The 23,653-nt window shown below is 45.6% G+C and overlaps 1 protein-coding gene, 1 long non-coding RNA gene and 1 pseudogene across 6 annotated transcripts, besides 2 other annotated features; 1 reads left to right on the top strand and 2 right to left on the bottom strand.

Annotated features, from left to right (window-relative positions):
* Nucleotides 80–579: an enhancer, noted in NCBI's record as "H3K4me1 hESC enhancer chr14:75342793-75343292 (GRCh37/hg19 assembly coordinates)". NCBI's record gives its function as "activates a minimal SCP1, AML or CMV promoter by ChIP-STARR-seq in primed H9 embryonic stem cells {active_cell/tissue: H9 hESC(primed)}" and the evidence as "EXISTENCE:reporter gene assay evidence [ECO:0000049][PMID:30033119]".
* Nucleotides 524–23,636, top strand: PROX2 (prospero homeobox 2). Of its 5 annotated transcripts, NM_001384314.1 has the most exons (7): nt 524–774; nt 5,432–5,566; nt 11,337–11,413; nt 12,661–14,139; nt 18,155–18,262; nt 19,674–19,868; nt 21,367–23,636. In NM_001384314.1, exons 4-7 carry the CDS (start codon nt 12,835–12,837, stop codon nt 21,535–21,537), a joined length of 1,779 nt encoding a protein of 592 aa, NP_001371243.1. In that variant the 5' UTR covers nt 524–774; nt 5,432–5,566; nt 11,337–11,413; nt 12,661–12,834; the 3' UTR covers nt 21,538–23,636. The 5 variants fall into 5 exon arrangements, 4 of the variants coding, with proteins under 4 accessions (NP_001371243.1, NP_001229936.1, NP_001073877.2 ...); NR_169190.1 differs by lacking the exon at nt 5,432–5,566 and having other exon boundaries at nt 19,551–19,868; NM_001243007.2 differs by lacking the exon at nt 11,337–11,413.
* On the bottom strand, nt 2,415–3,069 carry METTL5P1 (METTL5 pseudogene 1; annotated as a pseudogene).
* LOC124903348 (uncharacterized) lies at nt 17,234–18,163 on the bottom strand. The gene is made up of 2 exons (XR_007064269.1): nt 17,903–18,163; nt 17,234–17,836 (listed from the first exon to the last, which is right to left on the bottom strand). It is a non-coding gene; the product is annotated as an uncharacterized LOC124903348 (long non-coding RNA).
* Nucleotides 20,789–21,988: an enhancer, noted in NCBI's record as "CDK7 strongly-dependent group 2 enhancer chr14:75321384-75322583 (GRCh37/hg19 assembly coordinates)". NCBI's record gives its function as "activates an origin of replication core promoter dependent on BRD2, BRD4, P300/CBP, MED14 and CDK7 cofactors, with strong dependence on CDK7, by STARR-seq in HCT116 cells {active_cell/tissue: HCT116}" and the evidence as "EXISTENCE:reporter gene assay evidence [ECO:0000049][PMID:35650434]".
* Nucleotides 23,637–23,653: the final 17 nt, after the last annotated feature.

The following is a 23,653-nucleotide window of genomic DNA, read 5'->3' as shown; positions in this document are numbered from 1 at the left end:
TGGGTTACATTCGGGAGTAGGTGGGTTTGGCCAGTGAGTTCTCCCAGATCTGTCAGGGATGGGTGCTTTTGGCCCAGCAGCAGCTTCCTCAGCAGTGTTCAGGCCTCTGTGGGAGGGAGGGACCACGCAGCCTCTCCTTCCTGCAGATCTGAGATGCCATGGTTTGCTGTTGGGCTGATTCCAGTCTTCTCAGGATGCTTGAGGGACAGGGAGAGGATGTTCATATTGGAGCTGCCTCTCTGGGGAATTTGAAAGCAGAAGTCAGGAGCTTCCCGCTGGAGGCCAGAGCAATGAGAGAAGCTGGGTGATTCAGTCCCCAAGTTTTCAAAGGGCTCTGTGGTCCATAGGCAAAGACAGAAGAGATGGCATTTCAGGAAGGCCCTCTCTGAGCTGGCTTTTCTGGGCACCTGAGTTGGGGTGGCGTTGAGAAATGGCATGGGGGCAGCCAACCAGCTGGCCTCAATTTGCATATTCATAAGCCCCCCATGCCGGTTGGCTGCGCTAAGCAGCCCCCACTGTCCCCAGAGTCAGCGGCTGCAGCAAGACTGGGTCTGTCAGACAGTGCCTTGTGCTAAGAAGGGGCCAGAGCCTCCCCTCACCCAGCCACGGGCACCCGGCCTGCCTGGAGAGGAAGCAGGGAAACCAGAAGCACTTCCTGACCATGGCTCTGTCTGCCCAGGGCTGGTGAAGAGTGGGCTGCTCCGTCTTCTAGAGTGGTTGGCCCCACCTGGCCACAGAGCCCAAGACAAGGACCTCCCAGAGGACCTCTTCCCTGTGAGTAACATCATCCTTTCCATTTACCTTGCCAGAGTACTTTTTAAAAAATTATGGAACATTATGAAAATTGTCAAATATGCAGAGAAGTAGACAGAGTAGCATAGCAATACCCACCCCTATACTCATCACCTAGATTTAACAATTGTTCATATGTATTTGCTTATTTTTGTTGGCTGAAATACTTTCAGGCAAATTATAGACATGGAGACATTTCACTCCCTAATTCCTCACTCCATAATACTGTGTATGCATCTCTGGAGCCCTTTTGAAGCTCTTCTTTCATTAGATTCTCACCCAAGTTCTCAGTGAAGGGATGATTATCATCTCCATTTTATAAAAGCTGAAACGCAGAATATGCGGCTTTAGGGCCAATGACTGGGAGTAGTGCCCAGACCTCCTAACTCCCAGCCCAAGTGCTTGTACAGCCACATGAAAGGATCTCTGATGTCCAGGGGTGTTTTCCTAGAGAGCAAGGAGGCATTGCAGCTGCTGTGTGACCTTGGGCATGTCACCTTACCTCTCTGGGCTCCTGGTTCCTCATCCATAAAGTAAAGGCATGTCATGAAGATCCTCGGACCCCTAACGCTAGCCTGTGACATTTCCCTTGGTTTTTAGAAAAATGAGAAAAGACAATGTAAAGAGTTTTTCGCAAAGCTAAACTTATTTGCATATTATGCATTTCCCCCTTTTATTCTTTTAAAAACAAAGTGGTTAAGATTTTATTTTATTTATTTTTTATTTTTTTTTGAGATGGAGTCTTGCTCTGTTGCCCAGGCTGGAGTGCAATGGCACGTCTCAGCTCACTGCAACCTCCACCTCCCGGGTTCAAGCAATTCTCCCTGCCTCAGCCTCCTGAGTAGCTGGGATTACAGGCATGCACCACCACGCCCAGCTAATTTTTGTATTTTTAGTAGAGACAGGTTTTCACCATGTTGGCCAGGATGGTCTCAAACTCCTGACCTCAGGCGATCTACCCATCTCAGCCTCCCAAAGCGCTGGGATGACAGGCGTGAGCCACCCCGCCCAGCTAAGATTCTTTAAGAAATAAAAATCATGTGTCATGAAGGGAGATGAAAAAATTTTAAAGAGGAAATAAAAGTGATGGTAGATAGTAGTCTTTTGTATACTTATTTTTTGTGCCTTCACCTGCAAAATAAAATGTCAGTAACTCTCAAACTGGTCCAATATCTTTCCTCTTCGTTTCATTTTTTATTTTTAGTAAACCAATTTTTATTCATTTTAAATAAGTTTTAAACTACTTTTGTTTTGGGGGCTTTTAAAATGAAAACTGAGTTAGGTCCACTCCAATGCCCACTGATTTATTTTTAGGAAATTTGTATAGGCCGGGCGCGGTGGCTCACGCCTGTAATCCCAGCACTTTGGGAGGCCGAGGTGGGTGGATTACGAGGTCAGGAGTTCAAGACCAGCCTGGCCAAGATGGTGAAACCCTGTCTCCACTACAAATACAAAAACTAGCTGGACTCGGTGGTGGGCGCCTGTAATCCCAGCTACTTGGGAGGCTGAGTGAGAAGAATCGCTTGAACCCGGGAGGCAGAGGTTGCAGTGAGCCAAGATCACGCCACTGCACTCCAGCCTGGCAATAGAGCAAGACTCCATATCAAAAAAAAAAAAAAAAAAAACTTGTATGATGCTGGCAGGTCATCCCAAAGCTCTGAAATCATATCTATCTTGATTTCCCATTCTGCAGCTTTCTTTTCAACATGTTCTCTGAGGATTTGTGTAAAGAATATACTGCTGTTCTTGCCATTTCCAAAGCGGTCTTTAGAAAAGCCATATCTATCCCTTTATTATTTTTGGTCCCAAAAGGCGGATTCATAATTACTGTATCAAATGACTTGACATCCTGTTAGATAACAGGCACACATCACATTGAACCATGTCAATATTTGTTAACTCAAACTCTTCCACATTCCTATTAACTATTTCCAATACATCTTCATCTCTGTCAAATCCAACACAGAACCCTGCTCCTCACACTGCAGTTCCCATGCTAAGCATTCCACCACTACAGCCTAGATCTGCAAAAACTTCACTTTCAATGTCATCATAAGTGCTATGGATTGCATACAGCATACATGCTGCAATGTGAAGCTTGGTGGGATACTGTTCTAGAAGTAGCTTGGCCTTTTCGAATCCATCCACTTATTGCAGGTGACTCTCTAGTTCCTTAAGCCTTAATTCCTTCATTTTGTTTTTTTAAAAATATGGACTCTCAGGGTTTGAAGGCACAGGATCTCAGGAGGCGACTGGCACCTTGGCCGGGGCCAGAAGACCTCTTCATTTTATTAATGGTTGACATCTAAAAATATAAAAATCTGGAGACCAGCCACTGTACCAGATGCTCCTAAGCCCTTTCCAGCTCTGGAGTTCTATGGCTGTGGGGGCTCCTGAACCCCCCCTAGGAGGAAAGGAAACCAGTTTAAGGAGTGCCTATTTCCCGCACCAGAGAATGCAAGGCCCACCACATGTGATCCTCACCACAATCCTAAGAGAGTGACTGTTATCAACCCCATTTTACAGCCAGAGAAACTGAAGGGGAAAAGGCAGAGTTAATTTGTGTAAGTTCACATAAGAGCTAACAAAGGGCTGGGCGCGGTGGCTCACGACTGACTGTAATTCCAGCATTTTGGGAGGCCAAGGCGGGCAGATCATGAGATCAGGAGATTGAGACCATCCTGGCTAACATGGTGAAACCCCGCCTCTACTAAAAATACAAAAAATTAGCTGGGCATGGTGGCACGTGCCTGTAGTCCCAGCTACTCGGGAGGCTGAGGCAGGAGAATCACTTGAACCAAGGAGGTGGAGGTTGCAGTGAGCCAAGATCGCCACTGCACTCCAGCCTGGGTGACACAGCGAGACTCCATCTCAAAAGAAAAAAAAAATAGCTAACGATTCCCCCCAGGTCTAATACCTGGTAGATCATTCCATAGTTCACAGCCATGCAGTGGTTGATGCAGACCACCAGGGCTTCTGACTCCATTGTGTCTGTGTCTGTGGATGGACAGGGCTGTGTGGCCTGGGCCTGTCAGTCTGACCCCCTCTCCTCATTTCTGTCATTAGCCAGTGCAGTGAAGAGAGCCTGTTCAGGGCTGGACCAGAGATGGATGGGTGGCCTCCGACCTGTAGCAGAGTGGGGACAGTGCAGGGGGCCTCTCATCATAGAGAATAAAACAGGACAAGGCTGTATATGAAAATGCCTTTGAAAAGCATAAAAACGCTATGTGACTTTGAGATGTGCTACCCTGAACAAGTCTTCATCAGTAGCAAAAGTTAGCTCTGTCTGGCAAGTATTTGGATGGGCGGCTGTTCAGGAGTACAATGGGTAAGGCAAAAATGTATTCATATACAGATGTGATTAAGTCATCATTATTATGAAATGCCAGTGGTGGGCCCTTAGATCCCATAATGAGTGTTGATGAAGGTAAAAGCAGCTGTTTCAGGATAAGGCATTTTCCTCCATACCTTTCCAATCACGTTGGGTGGTCATCTACTAAGCACAAGGCTGGTCCAGTTGGAATCCAACTGAATCTAGGAAATGAATGAACAAAATACTGCAAAGAAAAACATGTTTTCCCAACAAAAACCAGGCAGGAATTTTATCAAGGAAATAACAATAAAACTGCTTGTATAAATCTGATTTGAGCTTCAATGACAGTGATGAGAATGAGTTAGCATCTCTTGGGCTTCACGAGGTACCTTTTACCTAAGGACTCTCCATAGCCCACCTTGCTTTATTGATTGGTTCTCTTGTGACCCAGCTGAAGCGCATCAAAGGTGTTTGCTGTTCCCTAAATGTGTACACATCACAGAAGGGGAGACATGGCCTGTGAGCTGCCAGTCTCACCTCAGCTGGCCTCATAGGCAGCCCTTCCCCTTTGTCCCACTTGGGCAGAGCTTCGGGAGCTCTCCAGGGATATTCCATGGAAGGACATAGACCCACAGGGAGAAAGGCTGCCATGTAGGAGGTGATCTGTGCAGGTGATGATGCCACAGACACTGGCTGTTCCTTTTCAGCTCATGCCCCGGTGCTCTAACACAAAGCTGAAAGGAGACAACACACAACTTCTCTCGTATGTTCTTGTTTGTTTGTTTGTTTGTTTGAGACAGGGTCTTGCTCTGTTGCCCAGGCTGAGTGCAGCGGTGCTATCATGGCTCACTATAGCCTCGACCTCCTGGGTTCGAGGTCCTCCCACCTCAGCCTCCCAAGTAGCTGGAACCACAGACAGGTGCCACCACATCTGGTTAATTTTTTCTATTTTTTGCAGAGATTGGATCTGATATGTTGCCCAGGCTGGTCTCGAACTCCTGGGCTCAGGTGATCCTTGAGCCTTGGCCTCCCAAAGCACTGGGATTACAGGCGTGAGCTACCACATCTAGCCTTATGTCGTCCATTATATACTTGAAATTCAAACTCACCCTCATTTTACATTTTCCAGCTATAAAATCCTATGTGCCTTCGCAGTTATCTTATAAGCCCTGTGTTCTATGCTTGTGTTTGTAGCTAAATTTGCTTCTCCAGTGGGGTTTTTTATTTCTGGTACCGAGGAATATGTATCTGGGAAAGAGTTAATGAGAAAAAAGTGCAGTTTTTTTAAAAAAAATAGACTTTATTTATTTTACTTTATGTTTTTAGAGACAGGGTCTTACTTTGTTGCCCAGGCTGGAATGCAGTGGCTATTCATTGGCATGATCGTAGCACACTACAGCTTTGAACTCCTGGGCTCAAGCAGTCTTCCCACCTCAGCTTCCTGAGTAGCTGAGACTACAGGTAAGCACCACCACATCTGTCTAGACTTTATTTATTTATCTATCTATTTATTTATTTTTTTGAGATGGAGTCTCGCTCTGTTGCCCAGGCTGGACTGCAGTGGCTTGATCTCGGCTCACTGCAACCTCCACCCCCGTGGTTCAAGCAATTCCCCTGCCTCAGCCTCCCAAGTAGCTGGGATTACAGATGCATGCCACCACGCCCAGCTAATTTTTTTGTATTTTTAGTAGAGACAGGGTTTCACCATGTTGGCCAGACTGGTCTCGAACTCCTGACCTCAGGCAATCCACTCCCCTTGGCCTCCCAAAGTGCTGGGATTACAGGCGTGAGCCCCTGCGCCCGGCCTAGACTTTATTTTTTAGAGTGGTTTTAGGTTCACAGCAAAATTGAATGGAAAGTACAGAGATTTCGCATATATCCCCTGCCTTCAACATGCATAGCTTTCTCCATACATGCAAATGTTTAATTAACAAAGGCAAGATTGCCTTTTTTCATTACAAAACTGAAAACATATCCATTAAAAATTTAGAAAATTCAGAAAAATAAAAAGAAAAAATAGAGAAAAAAATTACCTGTGGTTCTATTACCCATAAACAACATTTTGATGTATTTATTTCTCTATAATGTATGGGCGTGTGTGTGTGTGTGTGTGTGTGTGTGTATTTTTTTTTTTTTTTTGAGGCAGGCTTTCCCTCTGTTGCCCAGGCTAGAGTGCAGTGGCGCAATCAGAGCTCACTGCAGCCTCAACTTCTTGGTCTCAGTGATCCTCCTGCCTCAGCCTCCCTAGTAGCTGAGACTACTGGCACAAGCCACCACAATGCCCAGGTGATTTTTTTTTTGGAGAAACAGGGTTTCGCCATGTTGCCTGGGCTACTCTCAAACTCCTGAGCTCAAGCAATCCTCCCACCTTAGCCTCCCAAAGTGCTAGGATTACAGGCATGAGCCACCATACCTGGCCTCATATTTTTCTTTGTATTTTTAATATCTAATTTTCTCTTACCCCCCCACTCCAGTTTTATAAAATAATGTTACATAAACTTTACTTAAACACTATTTTTCAAAACGGTTGCATAATATGGCATCATGTAGATTATACCATACCTTAACTAGTGCCTACTCTTATTAATAATACTTGGATGGCCATCTTTGACATAAATTTATGAGTCTAGCCATCATTTTCTTGGCTTAACTTCATAGACATAGACTCACTGATTCAAATGGTATAAACATTTTTAAGTTTCTTAATATACAATCCATGAATATTTCCAAAAAATATATGAAAACTGAGCAAGATTACTGAGAATCAAAGAAATACACATAATGAGGTAACATTGTCACCTACCATAACGGCAAAGATTTAAAAGACAATGCCCAGCGTTGATAAAGATAAGGAGATGTATGTTCTTTTATAGATACATTGGTAGGAGCATAAATTGGCTATTTAAAAGTATATATATACAAGTAACACACGAATATATTCTTGTAAAAATTCAATTAATATAGAAATACACAGAGTAAAAGTTGAGATCAGGCATGGTGGCTCATGCTTGTAATCCCAGCACTTTGGGAGGCCAAGGTGGGTGGATCACCTGAGGTCGGGAGTTAGAGACCAGCCTGACCACCATGCAGAAACCCTGTCTCTACTAAAAATACAAAATTAGCCGGGTGTGGTGGTGCATGCTTGTAATACCAGCTACTTGGGAGGCTAAGGCAGGAGAATCGCTTGAACGTGGGAGGCAGAGGTTGCAGTGAGCCGAGATCACGCCACTGCACTTCAGCCTGGGCAACAAGAGCTAAACTCCATCTCAAAAAAAAAAAAAAAGTTGAAGGTTCTGCTTCAGTCCCTCCTCTCTACCCCCAGTCAGTTGGTACATTTCTGGAGGACAGTTGGAAAAGAAGTAGAACAGTTTAACGTAGTCTCAGCCTTTGATGCAATATTTTCACTTCTAGAAATGTAGTCCCCAAAGAAATATGTAGGAGTGTTAATCCCAATATTATTCATAATAACAATAGCTACAACTTATCAGCAATAAGTAAGTGCCAGGAACTGTTCTAAAAATATAACATGTGTTAACTTATTGGATCCAGATGTGAATTCCACAATAACCATAGATATTATGGTTATGCCCATTTTACTGATGAGAAAACTGAGGTACGGAGAGGTCACAAACTTAGCTAAGTGGCTCTAGGGATTCAAGTCTAGGCAGTCTGATTTGTGGGTCTATGTTCTCCATCTATCTCCATACTATCTTATTTTTTTTTTTTTTGAGACGGAGTCTCGCTGTCGCCCAGGTTGGAGTGCAGTGGCGTGATCTCGGCTCACTGCAGGCTCCGCCCCCCTGGGTTCACGCCATTCTTCTGCCTCAGCCTCCCGAGTAGCTGGGACTACAGGCGCCCGCCACCATGCCCAGCTAATTTTTTGTATTTTTTTTAGTAGAGACGGGGTTTCACTGTGTTAGCCAGGATGGTCTCGATCTCCTGACCTCGTGATCCGCCTGCCTCAGCCTCCCAAAGTGCTGGGATTACAGGTGTGAGCCACCGCGCCCGGCCTGTCTATGCTTCTATAATAGTGAAAATATAAGAAGGAATCTATCAAAGGAGAACTTGTTAAGTAAATTAGGGTACATCTATACAATGGAATATTATCAGCTTTCACAACGTTGCTGTAGATTGATATTCATCCACATGAAAGATTTAAAAATGGAGGCATAAAACTATATATCTATAATACCATTTTTGTTTATATATATATATATATATATATATATATATATATATATATATATATAATTACGAGAAATTATAAACTTCTCTGTACATGGAGAAAAGAGCTTGGCAAAAATGATGAACACCAAAATTTTAACTGATTTTCTCTGGGAGTGGCATTAGAGTGTCTTTCTTTTCCTCTTAATACATTTCTATATTTGGGAAGTAAAATGATCCTACATTACTTTCATCGTCTAAGAGATGCAATAAAGCTATTTTTAAAGGATTATGACAATTGCTACCTCCATCAGTGAATATGAGAGTGCTAGTAGCTAATTTTCAAACAGAAAGCATCACTGCTTCATGCAGACTTACCCAGATAAAGGGCTGTGGGCAGCACGCCGGCCTCAGCACAGAGGTTTCCTGTTTCTCAGCAGCCCAGAGGCAGAGTTTCCATGATTGCATGGGCGTAAACATCTCTGGGTACCCAGCCACAGTGGAGTCTGGCTGGATTTCCAGTTTCTGGCCTCAAGATATTTCTGTTCATTGTTGCTTCATTAAACACACTGGTCCCATCTGTTACCCTAGTAGATCTGTCTTCTGGAGCACACAGACTACACGGAACCTCAGAAACAATACCTTGAATAACCCACAAGGGAGATTCAGCAGCTTTAGTGGTTCTATGCTCTTCTCCTCAATGACTCTATCTACCCGTCTGTCTTTCTGTCTGCATTGATTTTGTTCCATGCACAAGCCTCCATGCTAGGTGCTAGAGAGATCTGAAATAAAGTATTGTCTATTGAGGAGACAAAAATCAATATAAATGAAGTATTTATGGACAATTTATTCAATGGAGTTAGCAAACATCTGGTAACATCTGGCAGTCAGGCACTACTTGGGAACACAAAGAGGGAGCTCACAGACCAAAGGGGAAGATGCATTGATCACTTCAGAGAGGAAGTGACATTTCAGTTGGATTTTGAAAGAGGAATAAGAGTTTGTCCGTGGAAAAGTGGGAGAAGGGCTGGTCGGGCCAAGAGAATGTAAATGCAAAGACACGGAGGCTGGAAGGAGCCTGGCCTGTTCAGTGAACACAAAGTCCAGGACAGCTGGACACAGGCAATTGTTGAGGGTAGTGGCTCCAAAGGAGTTAGATCGAGACCATGTTTGTGAAGAGCTGAGACATCTGAACCTTCTAGTCCACAGGAAGCTAGCAAAGACTTTGATTCCATAGAGGGGCATAAGCAGAGCTAGCTACATTTTAGAAGATTAATACCAGTGGCAATGTCATGGGGAAAATGGAAACAATCAAAAGAAAATTTCCACCAGTTCCCATCACATTTATCCACCTGCCTGTACTGGTGTGCCTCCACTGCTCTTCCTTTTGCTGCATGGATGAACTGAGCATTCCCCTGTCTAAAGTCAATCCCTCCTTGTGTGCACTAGATCTCTTCCCCTCCTTCCTACTCAAGCACATGGCTCCAGAAATTCTCCCCCTCTTGCCTACATTAACATATTTCATCTTTCTGCAGCAACATTGTTATCAGCCTACAAATATGCTGTTATTCTGCCTATCTTGAAAAACTCTCTCTTGACCCCATTTTCTCTTTCAGCACTGTCTCATTTCTGTCCTCTTTACAAAACTCCTTGAAAGAGTTGTCAGATTCAATGTCACCTACTCCTCTTCTTGTCCTCTCCCTTAAATCCACGTCAATCAGGCTTTTTTCTCCCTGTACTCCACCAAAACTGTTGATCAAGATTCCCAGTGACTCCACATTACTAATTCAAATGGCCAATTTACTATCCCTTTGTGACTTGGCCTCTCCCTCCTCCTAGAAACATTTACTTCACTTGGTTGCCAGGACCTCGCACACCCCTAGGTTTCCCCCTGCCTCTCTGACTGCTCCTTCTCAGTTGCCTTGGTTGATGCCAGCTCATGCCCCCAGCCTCTTCATGTCCCTGTGTCCCAGGACTTGGACCTTGGCCCTCCTCCCTTCTCTGTCTACATTTACTCCCTTCGTGACCTCATCCAGCCACATGCTGACCACCCTCAATTTTACATTTCTAGCCCAGATCTCCCTGACTGAACCCCAGGCTTATTTCTACAATTGCTTTCTGGTTTTTTGTTTTTTGTTTTTCGAGACGGAGTCTTGCTGTGTCACCCAGGCTGGAGTGCAGTGGTGTGATCTTGGCTCACTGCAACCTCCACCTCCTGGATTCAAACAATTCTCCTGCCTCAGCCTCCCAAGTAGCTGGGACTACAGGTGCCCGCCACCACACTCGGCTAATTTTTGTATTTTTTAAAGTAGAGACAAGGTTTCACTATGTTGGCCAGTCTGGTCTTGAACTCCTGACCTCGTGATCCACCCGCCTCTGCCTCCCAAAGTGCTGGGATTACAGGCATGAGCCACTGCACCCAGTCTCCAATTGCTTTCTTGACATCTTGACATTTAGATGTCTGTCTAGTACTTATATCAAATTTAACATATCCAGGGTATCGTTGTAGTGTCCCTGTTGGTTAAAATATCAGTTCTGCCAGTTTAATTACTATGATTATGATTTTTTTTAGACAGAGTCTCGCTCTGTTGCCCAGGCTGGAGGGCAGTGGTGTGATCTCGGCTCACTGCAACCTCTGCCCCCCAGATTCATGCCATTCTCCTGCCTCAGCCTCCCGAGTAGCTGGGACTATAGGCGCCCGCCACCACGCCTGGCTAATTTTTTGTATTTTTAGTAGAGACGGGGTTTCATGAATGTTAGCCAGGATGGTGACCTGTGATCCACCCGCCTCAGCCTCCCAAAGTGCTGGGATTACAGGCGTGAGCCACCGCGCCCGGCCCAGTTCAATGATTATTATTAGTTAGAAAGCAAGTGACGTGGTTGGAGTATAGTGTACTTTGATGCTTTGTGGGAATAAAACAGCTTTAGGCAGTCTTTCCTGAAATAGCTCCCTCCTTCTCCCCAACCGCTCTCTCCAGTTTCCAACCCTTTGTTGTGCTTTCTCTTCACAGCAGGTATCACACACTGAAAATATATTTGTTTGTTTATTCTCTGCTTTCCCTGCTAGACTGCCTGTTCCAGGAGGGCAGACTATGCTGATCTTGCTCACTCCATGAGCCCAGAAGAAGGCCCGACACACAGCAGGTGCTCAATAAATAGTTGTTCAATAAATAGTTGAACAGTGAATGCGTAATCTGATTTTTCCAAGAGTTAGGACGGCAGTGTTTTTTTTTTTTTCTTTTTCTTTTTTTTCTTAAGACAGAGTTTCACTCTGTCGCCCAGGCTGGAGTGCAATGGAACAATCTCGGCTCACTGCAACCTCCGCCTCCTGGGTTCAAGTGATTCTCCTGCCCCAGCCTCCCAAGTAGCTGGGATTACAGGCGCATGCTACCACACTCAGCTAATTTTTTTTATTTTTAGTAGAGATGGGGTTTCACCATGTTGGCCAGGCTGGTCTCAAACTCTTGACCTCAGGTGATCCACTCGCCCTGGCCTCCCAAAGTGCTGGGATTACAGGTGTGAGCTACCTTGCCCGGCCTGAATTTGCTTTTTTTTTTTGAGATGGAGTCTCGCTCTGTCACCCAGGCTGGAGTGCAACGGGGCAATCTTGGCTCATGGCAACCTCCACCTCGCAGGATCAAGTGATTTTCCTGCCTCAGCCTCCCAAGTAGCTGGGATTAACAGGCGCCCGCCATCACGCCCAGCTAATTTTGTACTTTTGGTAGAGACAGGGTTTCTCCATGTTGGTTAGGCTGGTCTCCAACTCCCAACCTCAGGTGATCCGCCTGCCTCGGCCTCCCAAAGTGCTGGGATTACAGGCGTGAGCCACCGCACCCTGCCGAATTTGCTATTTCTAGAAGTGCCTTGGGTGATTCTGTTGCCCTTAGTCACTAGAAAAGTCACTCCGAATCAGACAACGCTTGGTTTGACCCCAGTCTGTCACTTACGAGCTGCATGACCATAGGGAAGTAGCTTCTTCTCTGATCTTGTTTTCTTATCTGTAGACAATAGGCATGACCACATTCTCATGGAGCTGTTATGACACATTAATTAAATTAATGGATGTAGAGTTCTTGGCATAATGCCAGTTGTTCAGGCGGCTGCCACTACGATATTATTATTATTATTATTATTTTATTGTTATGCCCAAGCAGGAGAAGATTTTTCTCCCTGTAAGATCACTCTCGGAGTCTCCTCAAAGTGGGGTTCTGAGACCAGCAGCATCAGCATTACCTGGGAGCTGGCTTAAAATGGAGAATCTCTGCCCCACCCCACATCTACTGAATTGAAATCTACACTTTAACGAGACCGCGTTGAATGTTTGCACATTCACATTTTAAAAGGACTGTTCAAAGTCACACGTACTCTTTTCTTCCTGTCTCTAATTTCAGGAGTCTGCCCAGGAGGTTCATGAGCCCTGGCATCCCAGAATCTGAATCCTTCCTCAGTGACAGTGGCTCTTTACCCTTCTAAGTGCAGAGGAGGAAGCCCAGCGCATTCTGGGTGCACTTCCAGCTGAGGAAATAAGGAGGAGGAATTCCTGAAGCCCTGAACAAGTGCCTGGGATGGATCCAAACTCCATCTTGCTTTCTCCTCAGCCCCAGATCTGCTCCCACCTAGCAGAAGCTTGTACGGAAGGCGAGAGAAGCTCATCCCCTCCAGAGCTGGATAGAGACTCCCCGTTTCCCTGGAGTCAGGTCCCCAGCTCCAGCCCTACAGACCCCGAATGGTTTGGTGATGAGCACATCCAGGCAAAGAGGGCCAGAGTGGAGACCATTGTCCGAGGCATGTGTCTCTCCCCGAATCCTCTGGTGCCAGGCAATGCGCAAGCTGGGGTCAGCCCACGCTGCCCAAAGAAGGCCCGAGAGAGGAAGAGGAAGCAGAACCTTCCCACACCGCAAGGCCTCCTGATGCCAGCCCCTGCCTGGGACCAGGGCAACAGGAAGGGGGGCCCTCGTGTGAGAGAACAACTTCATCTGCTGAAGCAACAGCTAAGACATCTGCAAGAGCACATCCTACAGGCTGCCAAGCCCAGGGACACAGCTCAGGGGCCAGGAGGCTGTGGCACGGGGAAAGGCCCTCTGAGTGCAAAGCAGGGGAATGGCTGTGGGCCTCGCCCCTGGGTTGTGGACGGTGACCACCAGCAAGGTACCAGCAAGGACCTCTCTGGGGCAGAAAAACACCAAGAGTCTGAGAAGCCCAGTTTCCTTCCTTCTGGAGCACCAGCTTCACTAGAGATTCTGAGGAAAGAGCTGACCAGGGCAGTGTCCCAGGCTGTGGACTCGGTATTACAAAAGGTACTATTGGATCCACCAGGCCACCTGACTCAGCTGGGCAGAAGCTTCCAGGGGCAGGTGGCAGAGGGTAGAAGCGAGCCCTCACCTCCTGTGGGAGGGGCCTGTAAAGATCCACTTGCTTTGGCTGCCTTGCCCAGGAGGGTCCAGCTACAAGCTGGGGTCCCAGTAGGAAATTTATCACTGGCCAAGCGTCTAGATTCTCCTAGGTACCCTATCCCTCCAAGAATGACCCCCAAACCCTGTCAGGATCCCCCAGCAAACTTTCCCTTGACTGCACCTTCCCACATCCAGGAAAATCAGATTCTTAGCCAGCTACTGGGTCATAGATACAACAATGGCCATTGGAGTAGCAGTCCTCCCCAGGACTCATCTTCCCAGAGGCACCCCTCCTCAGAGCCTGCCCTACGACCTTGGAGAACTACTAAGCCGCAACCATTGGTCCTGAGCCAGCAGCAGTGTCCCTTGCCTTTCACCTCTGCCCATCTGGAAAGTCTACCCCTTCTTCCCTCGGTGAAGATGGAACAGAGAGGCCTGCATGCTGTCATGGAGGCACTGCCTTTCTCTTTGGTCCACATATCCTTTAATAGCAATTGAAGTTCTCATTGTTGGCCAGGTGCAGTGTGGCTCATGCTTGTAATCCCAGTGCTTTGGGAGGCCAAGGTGGGAGGATTACTTGAGGACAGGTGTTCAAGACTAGCCTGCACAACATAGCTAGACCCCATCTCTAAAAATAAAAAATTATCTGCACATGATGGCCCATGCCTGTAGTCCTACTCAGGAGGCTGAGGCAGGAGGATTGCTTGAGCCCGGGAGTTCGAGGTTACAGTGAGCTATGATTGCACCACTGCACTCCAGCTGGGCAACAGAGAGAGACAATGTTTCAATAAATAATTTAAAATACCATTGACACTGTGCAGAGAAACAAGAAAACTAAAAGTTGAAGAGGAGCTGGGGACAGATCACTCAGGGTCTTCTTAATGTTGCTCTGGGCCTTCAGCTTATAGTGGTGACCACATTCTGGAATTTAAGGACCTGGGAAGGTTCACTTAGCTTCTTCTATGACCCATCGGGTTCTGCCACTTGACTTATTCCTTTGGGTCTAAAAGGGTTTTGTTTTGAGACTCAAATAGGCTTCTGAAATACAATGAATACCCTAAGGAAGAAAGAATCCATAATTTGGTTGTCAGCCACCCATAAACTTAGGAGGAGAGGGTCAAAGGAATGACGTCATCTAAGGTATGGCCTCCCCAACCCCATAGCTCTACAAGCAAAAATCCTATATTGTGTAGATAATTCCTGGGGAGCAGATGAGGAACAAGAAACTTCTGGGCCAAATGGAAAAGGAGTTTTCCTCGGGGATTAAACCCAGAGAGGTGGCTGGAAACGGCCAGAGGTCTCCAGTTTAAGGAACAACTTCCAAGGTGCAATGGAGTGCCTGGAGACTAGGGGCTGGGCATATGAAGGGAGAGGAGGCTCCCCATGAGGAGGCCTGAGTGGCCCAGGCTGATCTGCAGGGCTCTGGATCTTATTGCATCATCTTTGCAACCCTTAAGTAGACACTACTCTCTTAATGTATTTCCCAGAGTAACCCTCGGGATATTAATAATTGTTGAGTTAGAAGAAAAAGTACCTTGGGGAAATACTGAGATAGTTTCTTTTCTGCAGGAATTCTCAGAGCCTTTAACATGAGTAAATGGAAGCTCTAAGAGGAGAATGTACACAGCCCCAAACCCATATGACCACTTCTAACAAGCATCTTGCAGAACTTAAGTTCTTGAGAATATATTTTGGATGTTGCTTTTTAAGCTAGCTGTGCTCACGCTGCTGCTTCTTGTGTGCAGCTTTGAGGGGAATCTCCAGAAGCTGATGAGTCTATGGAGTTGCATATCCAGGTGGGAACAGTCGTGTCCTTTGCCTGGCAACTACTGTGAGGGCAGCAGGATGGGGTGGGACCAGCTCATTACCATGCCAGAACCTGCCTTTGTGTCCTAAATGCCATGAGCGCCCCCTGCCGGTCAAAAGTGTTGGAAACACCCCAAAGCTTTCCTGGAAGTTAGCGAGCAACTGTAAAACCAATGCTGAGAACACTTCACTTGCCACCACTCTTGGAGGCAGAGATTCCACCATAGACAGATTTTCTTTATAAGAAAGGCTACCTGTCTGGGCCTTTGATAACCACTAGTTGACTCTCCATTAAATTCAGACAGCTGCAAAAACACCTCAGTCTCCCAGAATTTGCTATTTGTTGAGCACCTACATGTGCCTGTTCCTGCCCCCTAAATTGGGGATTGGGCTCAGAGAGCTTCTGGAGGTTTGGGGCCTATCCTAAGAAATACCTAAGCCAGGACTGGCTGCATGGGTGAAGTACTTGACTATCTTTGGAATGACTTGGGACCCCCTAGCAGCACCCTGGCCCCTCAACTCTTCCCTCATTCCTGCTGCCTATATTCCAAGAGATTTATTCCTGTGGGCCATGAAAGCCACCTGAGAGCAAGCTGCTTTACAGCATAAAAAGAACGTTCACATTCACATGACATCCTGTGACATAGGTAGGGCAGATGTGAAGATCACGAGGGGAGCATTGACAGAACACCTTCTCGGTGGCAGGCATTGCTACCAGCACTTCACACATATGTGCCCACCACCACTTAGCTACAATTCTGAAACCCATAAAGCTTTGACAGGCCCTATGATTTTCCCCCCCTAAGAATGATGCAATCTTTTTTTTTTGGTAGCAAAACCTGGCTTGCACTGATTGGAGGCTATTAATAGATTTTATCCCACTTAGTATAGTCATACGTTCTGCTGCAGAAATGTTAATGTATTGGATTATACACTGTCTCAGCTGTGGATGTTAATTAATGTGTGGTACACACATCGTATTATCTTTATAAGCTAACAAATTCTGAAATCCAAACTCCATTTGGCTCAGCATTTCAGATAACGGGTTTAGACCTGTATTATCTCACCGTTCTCAAGCATCCACTCTAAGATCGGGTATCCGAGAAGCAGAGACAGAGAAGGGAGCTAACTCGTCCAAAGTCCCAAGACACACTAATGAGCAACCAGGATTTAAACCCGGGATCTGATGGCCAAGTACAAGCTTTAACCACTATACTCCACATCTTAGCAATGAGGCTCAGAGCAGTTAAGTGGCTTGCCCAAGGTCACACAGCTAATAGATGGCAAAATCAGTGTCTGAAACTGGGTCTTTGGAATCCCAATCCAGGATTCTCTCCACAGCATTTGTGGATCTGTAGGAAGGGTAAGTAGGGGCTGATGGGGCAGCAGGGAGGGATCTCCTGTGCAGCAACTAGGTGCCTGGGCCACCTATAACCATAGTCAGTTGGTCTGGTTTCTTTTGGTTAAACAGATTCATCCTATGTGGAAGTCTTCACTGTCTTAAGCTACAGCTCTCGGATCTGAGATCCCAGGTTACTCTGTGTAATGCTTCTCACCCAGCCTAAGGACTGTCCCTAAAAATGCAAAGCGTATTTGTGTAAATCTTTTTTTCATTTCCGTCCTGCCCTAGTGCTAGGCAGTCACATCACAATTCTCCGACTCTTGTTAAAGGGGAAGGAATCTGTCTGTTCCCAGAGTGAGGTATAGTTTGGAATCTAATTTCCATATATGTGTATGGATTAAGGTTGACCGTTCACTCACTTACTCCTTCACACAACAAATATTTATTGAGCACCTGCTATGTTCCTAGCACTGGGCTAGGCACAAAGATGAAAAGATAAGGTCCTCACTCTCAAGGAGCTCACAGTCTAGACGAGACAAACATACAGTAAAAATTCCAATAAGGTCATCGCTGCAACAGTTTGTACAAAGAGTCTTCATAGCCCAGGGTAAGGAAGGCCTAATTTGGCAAGGAAGGGTTTAACAGAGGTGGGAGCTTCTGAGCTGAGACCTGAAAGATGAGGGATAGTTCTGCCAGGCAAATGGAGAGTGGGTACCACCCAACCATTCAAGCTTCTTGAGCAAGAGCAAAATATGAGCTGGTATTCAGCCTGCTTAGATGTTTGCTGGTTATAAAGGCAACACTGTGAAGGCAATGATAAGAGTGACAGCCAGAATGGGGACCACCTAGTTTACTCTTCTCGTTTTACAGCTGAGGAAACTGAGGCAGAGAGGGGAAGTAAATCTCTGCTTGGGGTTTTGAAATGGTTTATCTGGGATAGAATTGCCATCTCTTCCCATCCCACTTGGACACCACACACACACACACACACACACACACACACACACACACACACAATACACCAACCTGTATTTGACATCTAAGACACCACACACACACACACACACACACACACACACAAAATACACCAACCTGTATTTGACATCATCTATGCTACATAACTTTTCCACATCGAGATGATTTTTACATTCTGTGACTTAACTGTGCACATATGTCATCCAGCTTATTTGACCAGAGTTTCCAGAGACAGAAAAATGGAGCAAATACACAATTCCAATCAGAAAAACAAAATGAAATCAAATAGAAACCACAGGAACAAGGAATTCACTAGTTAATTGATAAACTGGCATTTTAAAGTGTTCATTTTCCTTGACACTGAGATAAATCCAGGAGGGTCTAAACCCTGGTCACTTGAAGAAGGCCAAACTAATGTTTTTCTTCACACGATATCCCAGCTCCAACCTCCTGAAGGTTTATTTTCCTGATGTTCAGGTAAAGTCACTCAACTAAATGGCAGCTTCTGCAGAACTCCCAAGAGGCAGTGTGTTTTGCCTGGTGTGAGGCAAGTCCTAGGTCATCATATGTGCACTTCAAGCTCCCCTTAGTGTTGCTGATGGAAGCAATGTCCAGTTCTGGGCTGAGACTCTACCCAAATAACCGTGAATAACTTTAGGCTAGAAAGGCTGGCTGTCTAAATTCTTAAGCTACTGAGCTGTAGATAATCCCCAAAACAGAAACACATGGGCAGGAAAAGTAGAGGGAAACAGAAACACTAGTTAGTGGCCTTTTTGGCTAGTTTTCTGCCTTGGCTGGGGACACTATGAAAAATAAAATATAGGCCAGGCACAGTGGCTCATGCCTCTAATCCCAGCACTTTGGGAGGCCGAGGTGGGCAGATGACCTGAGGTCAGGAGTTCGAGACCAGCCTGACCAACATGGTAAAACCCCATGTCTACTAAAAATACAAAAACTAGCTGGCGTGGTGGCGTGCGCCTGTAATCCCAGCTACTCGGAGGCTGAGGCAGGAGAATCACTTGAACCCAGGAGGTGGATGTTGCAGTGAACAGAGATCACGCCACTGCACTCCAGCCTGGGCGACAAAGCGAGACTACATCTCAAAAAAAAAAAAACACACAAAAACAAACAAACAAACAACAAAAAATATATATAGAGAGGGAGAGAGAGACAGAGTGTCAGACACTGTCAAATTTATGTTCAAATTGCTATAGTTCAAAACTGAGTGAAAGTACATACAGATGAAGTGTGACAATAAGGAAAATCAAACTAATTGTTGGGACCAGACCTCCCCTGTTCCCATAAAAGGTTTCTGAGGGCCTCTTTTACTTTGGGTGTTGGGTTAGGGGCTGTTAATACTTTTGGTCTACATCATTCAAGCTTTTCTTTCCCTCATATTCAGTTGGTTGGTTGATCCCTGAAGCAACCTCTGATTTTGATTTCAATTCATTCCACAATTCAAAGTTGCTAATAAACTGCTCCCTGACCTACATCTTGCCCTTCCCTTGGCCCTTTATCCAAGTGGAAGGCCCCAGGCCTGCCATGCAGTCCACCTGGGTGCAGCAAAATCTGGCACCACACTGGTCGTGACCCCTAAGTCCCACTCAAACACCACAAAAAGCTTTTCATGGGTAAAACAACCCCCATAAATCTAGCATATCAAAAAAAAGTTATGTTCTAATGGGCACTGTAGCTAATTTAGATTTTTCTGAGTATAACTAAATAGGCTTGGAAAATAGCGGTGGCTTCGCTTCTTTTTTTAAAGGAAGCCCCTGTTAATGCTGGTTAAAGCCGTATATGAACCCCTATACTGAGCTGGAAGCAGACAGTTCTAATTCTGAGCACCTCGTGGCAAATGTCTGACTGGATGGACCTCTTGTTTGTACAGTTCAACCGCTGCATTACCTCCCAGATGATCAAGTGGTTCAGCAACTTTCGTGAGTTTTATTACATCCAAATGGAAAAATCTGCCCGGCAAGCAATTTCAGATGGTGTCACAAATCCCAAAATGCTGGTGGTTCTCCGCAATTCAGAACTTTTTCAAGCTCTCAATATGCACTACAACAAGGGAAATGACTTTGAGGTAAGACCATGTACTGGGTTCCCATGAGATCTGATGAGTGTCTTCCCTATATGATTCGAGTTTTAGGAAAGATCCCTCTTCTGTGTCTCCTTAAGTTACTGAGAGCCAGGGCAGCCTGGGCCAATCTCTGTATCATCCACAAAGATTACAGCCTCAACATCTTCACTTGGGCAACAGGTGGAAGCAGCAAACTGAGTCAACAGCCAGTCTTCATTCTGAAGCTTAGTGAGAGGGCTGCCAGGTGTTACACCATCTTAGACTGAATACCCTGTCATTATCAAGTTACATAACTTCCTGACCTTTTTGCCTTAGTGCCAGGAGGCTCAGGACTGAATGCTGAGCTCAGTTGTGGCACCTAGTCTTGGCCTAGGTTTTCTCAACAATTTCTATGCTTTTCATGATTTGATTCTTATCTGTATTTTCCCTTGAAAATGTATCAGTGGGCCTTCCATAGCAAGTCACCTCAAATCCTTTCTGGAAATAACAATAAACAACACTCAAGCTCAGTCCCTCGGGGATCCCTATGAAGGCACACTGGTGGCACCTCAGAGGTAAAGCGTCAGTGAAAGGTGAGCCTAGGTGTCACTGGCGCACATTCCTAATCAAGAGATGCATGTTGCCTCATGCACAGCTGACAGCTGTTAGGCTGGCATCTGATTCTGCAGGTGCCGGGTATATCTGGTCACAGATTACACTTCCCTCTTCTTGACTTCTCCCTTGACTGTGATCACAAAGAGTGGTTTATTGATACCTCCAAAAAATACAAGAACTGTGGTCATCCACTGGTTGACTGGTGAGTCAGAGTATGTTTGGAAAGCTAAGACTACCTGTGGGGAAAATTGTCCATGTCTCCCTTTCTGAGGCTCAAGGGGTCACGGCCAGTATGGGACAGGCAGCACTGCTGCATCTTTCCACATAGGGTGGTCATTTGACCTGCAGTGGCAGCAAGCCCCAAGCCAAGCTGGGTCTGGAGCTTGGCAGTGGGGCAACCCATCATTCATGGTGCCAGTCTGGGTTAGGATTCTAGAACAGCACCCCCGTCAACCAGCTCTGAAAGCAGGAGTGTAAGCTCTTCAGACCCAGCCCTAAAAGGCAGTGGAATGAGGTATGACAGTCAGAAGCTTGGGGGCACTCCTTTCCACAGTTAGTACTAGGGAAAAGAATACCGAAGTCTCTTTGAGCCACAGATTTACTTTCAGTAAGATTTTCTGACCTGCTTAGTTAAAAAGTCGCCCATTAGCGAGATCAGCTCCTCCTACAAAGGAAGTGTCCTTAATTCACCTTCTCCCAGGGCTTTCTCACTGGAGCTGTCTTATCAAGGTTTGTGTCTGATGAGGAAGCAGAGGAGTCCTAGGGTTGCAGAATCAGGGGCCACTAGAGCAGGGATGCTCCTAGCCCACTACCCAAGAAACAGGCAGCACCCGCTAGTGAGGGCTCTGGCACCAGTGCTTCCCAACCTCACGTCTTTTCTTTCTTGTGGGTCTCTTTGGAAATGCAGGTTCCAGATTGCTTCTTGGAAATTGCCAGCTTGACGTTACAGGAGTTCTTCAGGGCTGTCTCCGCAGGGAGAGACTCAGATCCTTCCTGGAAGAAACCCATTTATAAAATTATTTCGAAACTGGACAGTGACATCCCAGAGATATTCAAATCTTCCAGCTATCCCCAGTAGCTGTTTCGGGGTTAAGATCCCACAACGTGAGGAGTGACTGGCTAGGGTTTCCTGGGTTTGTCTTAAAGGGCAATTTAGCTGTAGTCATATAAAAAGGGCACAAGGAAATCTCCTCTATCAAAACAGGTACTATTACCATTTTGATCATTTATTTCCCTTTCCAGAATCATCAGAAATTTAACTATAAAATGTACTAACTATATTGGTGTATTGGTAGTATATTGTAAAAGGAACACAAGTTTCCAATCAGAAGACTTGAAGCTCAACTCCATTGTTTCCAGGTGTTGTGACCCTGGGAACTTCCTGGTATCTCTGTATCTGTAAAATGAGGTTGTTAAGGATTAAAGGACAGTATGTCCTATGCAATGTCATTCACACACAAATGTCAGTTTTTTGAGCCCCTCTTTCAGATAAGGTTATCTTATTTGGGGTTTTTACAAATTGCTGTTTTTAGTCACCTAATTATAAAGCGCCATCTATTTGCTAGATACTTTCACATACTTTAAGCTTTTCACCCTGAAAAGTAGTTATTATCATCATTTAAAAGATGACCAAACAGAAGCTTTAGAACTGCAAGGTAACTCGCCAAAGCCTATGAGGCTAGGACATCTGGGTTGATAGGGACAGTCAGGAGCCTGGAGGAACCAAGACTTTCTGATGCCCAACTGCATGCTGGACCCATCTCCTGCAGCTAACTCAGGATCTCAAGCAGGACCCCACCCCTAGTAAGCATCCAGCGCTGACAGGGCACCGTCACCTGACAACTCCTGCCCAGCACTTAGGAGCACTTCACCGCCCAAGATTTCTGCTGATCATTTCAGCAAACTCAAGACAAACTTTATGCAGGACTTGAGTGTTGCTGTTTATTCACATTTGTCTGCTGGAAGAGTTTATCAGCTGGATAATGCAAATAGTCTCCAGCTGACCATTGCAATTGGTGCCCCAACCTCATATATGCAGAAGAAGCTGAACTTCAGACTGTGAAAGGTAGAAAGGGCCTTAGGAGATCATCTGGCCCATGCTGCTTAAATTGGGAAGGAAGAACCGCAGTCCAGACAGGAGGCTTGCACAGGCTGTGCACAGCCTTGCAGATGATAAATGGCATAACTGGGACAAATGCAGCATCACACAGAAATGGAAATTCTCCCACTCCATAACAAAATTACAGTCCATGGCTGACCTTCCACTGATGAAGGAATTCATGAAATCAACATTTCCCCCTGCTGCTGGCCCAGCACAATTGTGACCCACTCTTGAGTATATAGGCAAGGCATGTACAAAGCTGAGTAACTGCATCTGTCTTCTAAGCTAGTCAGGATCAAGTCTTTGTAAGCACTGCCAAAGGTACGCCGGGTGGGGTGGGGTGGGGGTAATACACAGCTCGGGCTTTGTAGTCCTGATAAGGGGTGTCTGTGAGTTCATTAGCTTCTTTCCTGTCTATATAAAACAAGTTTCATATTCGGCTACTCAACTTCCATAATTTTTCTGGTGGGGTGTTGCTGGAGCAGATGAGATAAAATCCCTAAACTATTACTAGAACTATCAGCATAAAAAGTATGAAAGATGAATTTTCCTTTGAATTTTCTCTTCAAACAGCTGAAAGGAAAAACAAAACAGACTTAGCCCAAACCCATCTTTACAGGCTAAAGGTTAAGTGCCCTCCAGTACATCCAATTGCACTCAGAAGATCTTTGCCCTATTTTCACAAAAATGAAGGAATCTGCCAAACCTAAGTTTTAAACACAGGCAAGCATGGAGTGCTCTGAGCAAGGGCAATCAGTTTTCTGTGTCCGGACATAGTAGAAGAACCCTCTATCCAGAGTGACATTACATACCTAAGTTAGACATACAGGGGAAACAAGTTCACATGACTGTCCAATAGAGAGCAGCCCTTCTTCTGTCCCAAACCTGAAATTCATTAGTGTGTGTTTAAAGACTGAGCCAAGTCACCTCCAGGGCAGTGAACCTTGTCTCAGGGACCAATGAGATGAAATGTACAAGCTCAAATTGAAAACATTTGTGTACTGCAGTCTTTCCAGGAAGTGTTCTCTAACCACTGAGCTAAACACAGAAGAATGTATAAATATGTATGCTCTGCCAACAGAAGAATTCTATT

Source organism: Homo sapiens, chromosome 14 (assembly GCF_000001405.40).
Source record: "Homo sapiens chromosome 14, GRCh38.p14 Primary Assembly".
NCBI classification, from domain to species: domain Eukaryota; kingdom Metazoa; phylum Chordata; class Mammalia; order Primates; family Hominidae; genus Homo; species Homo sapiens.
This window is presented reverse-complemented; position numbering and strand designations above follow the sequence as displayed.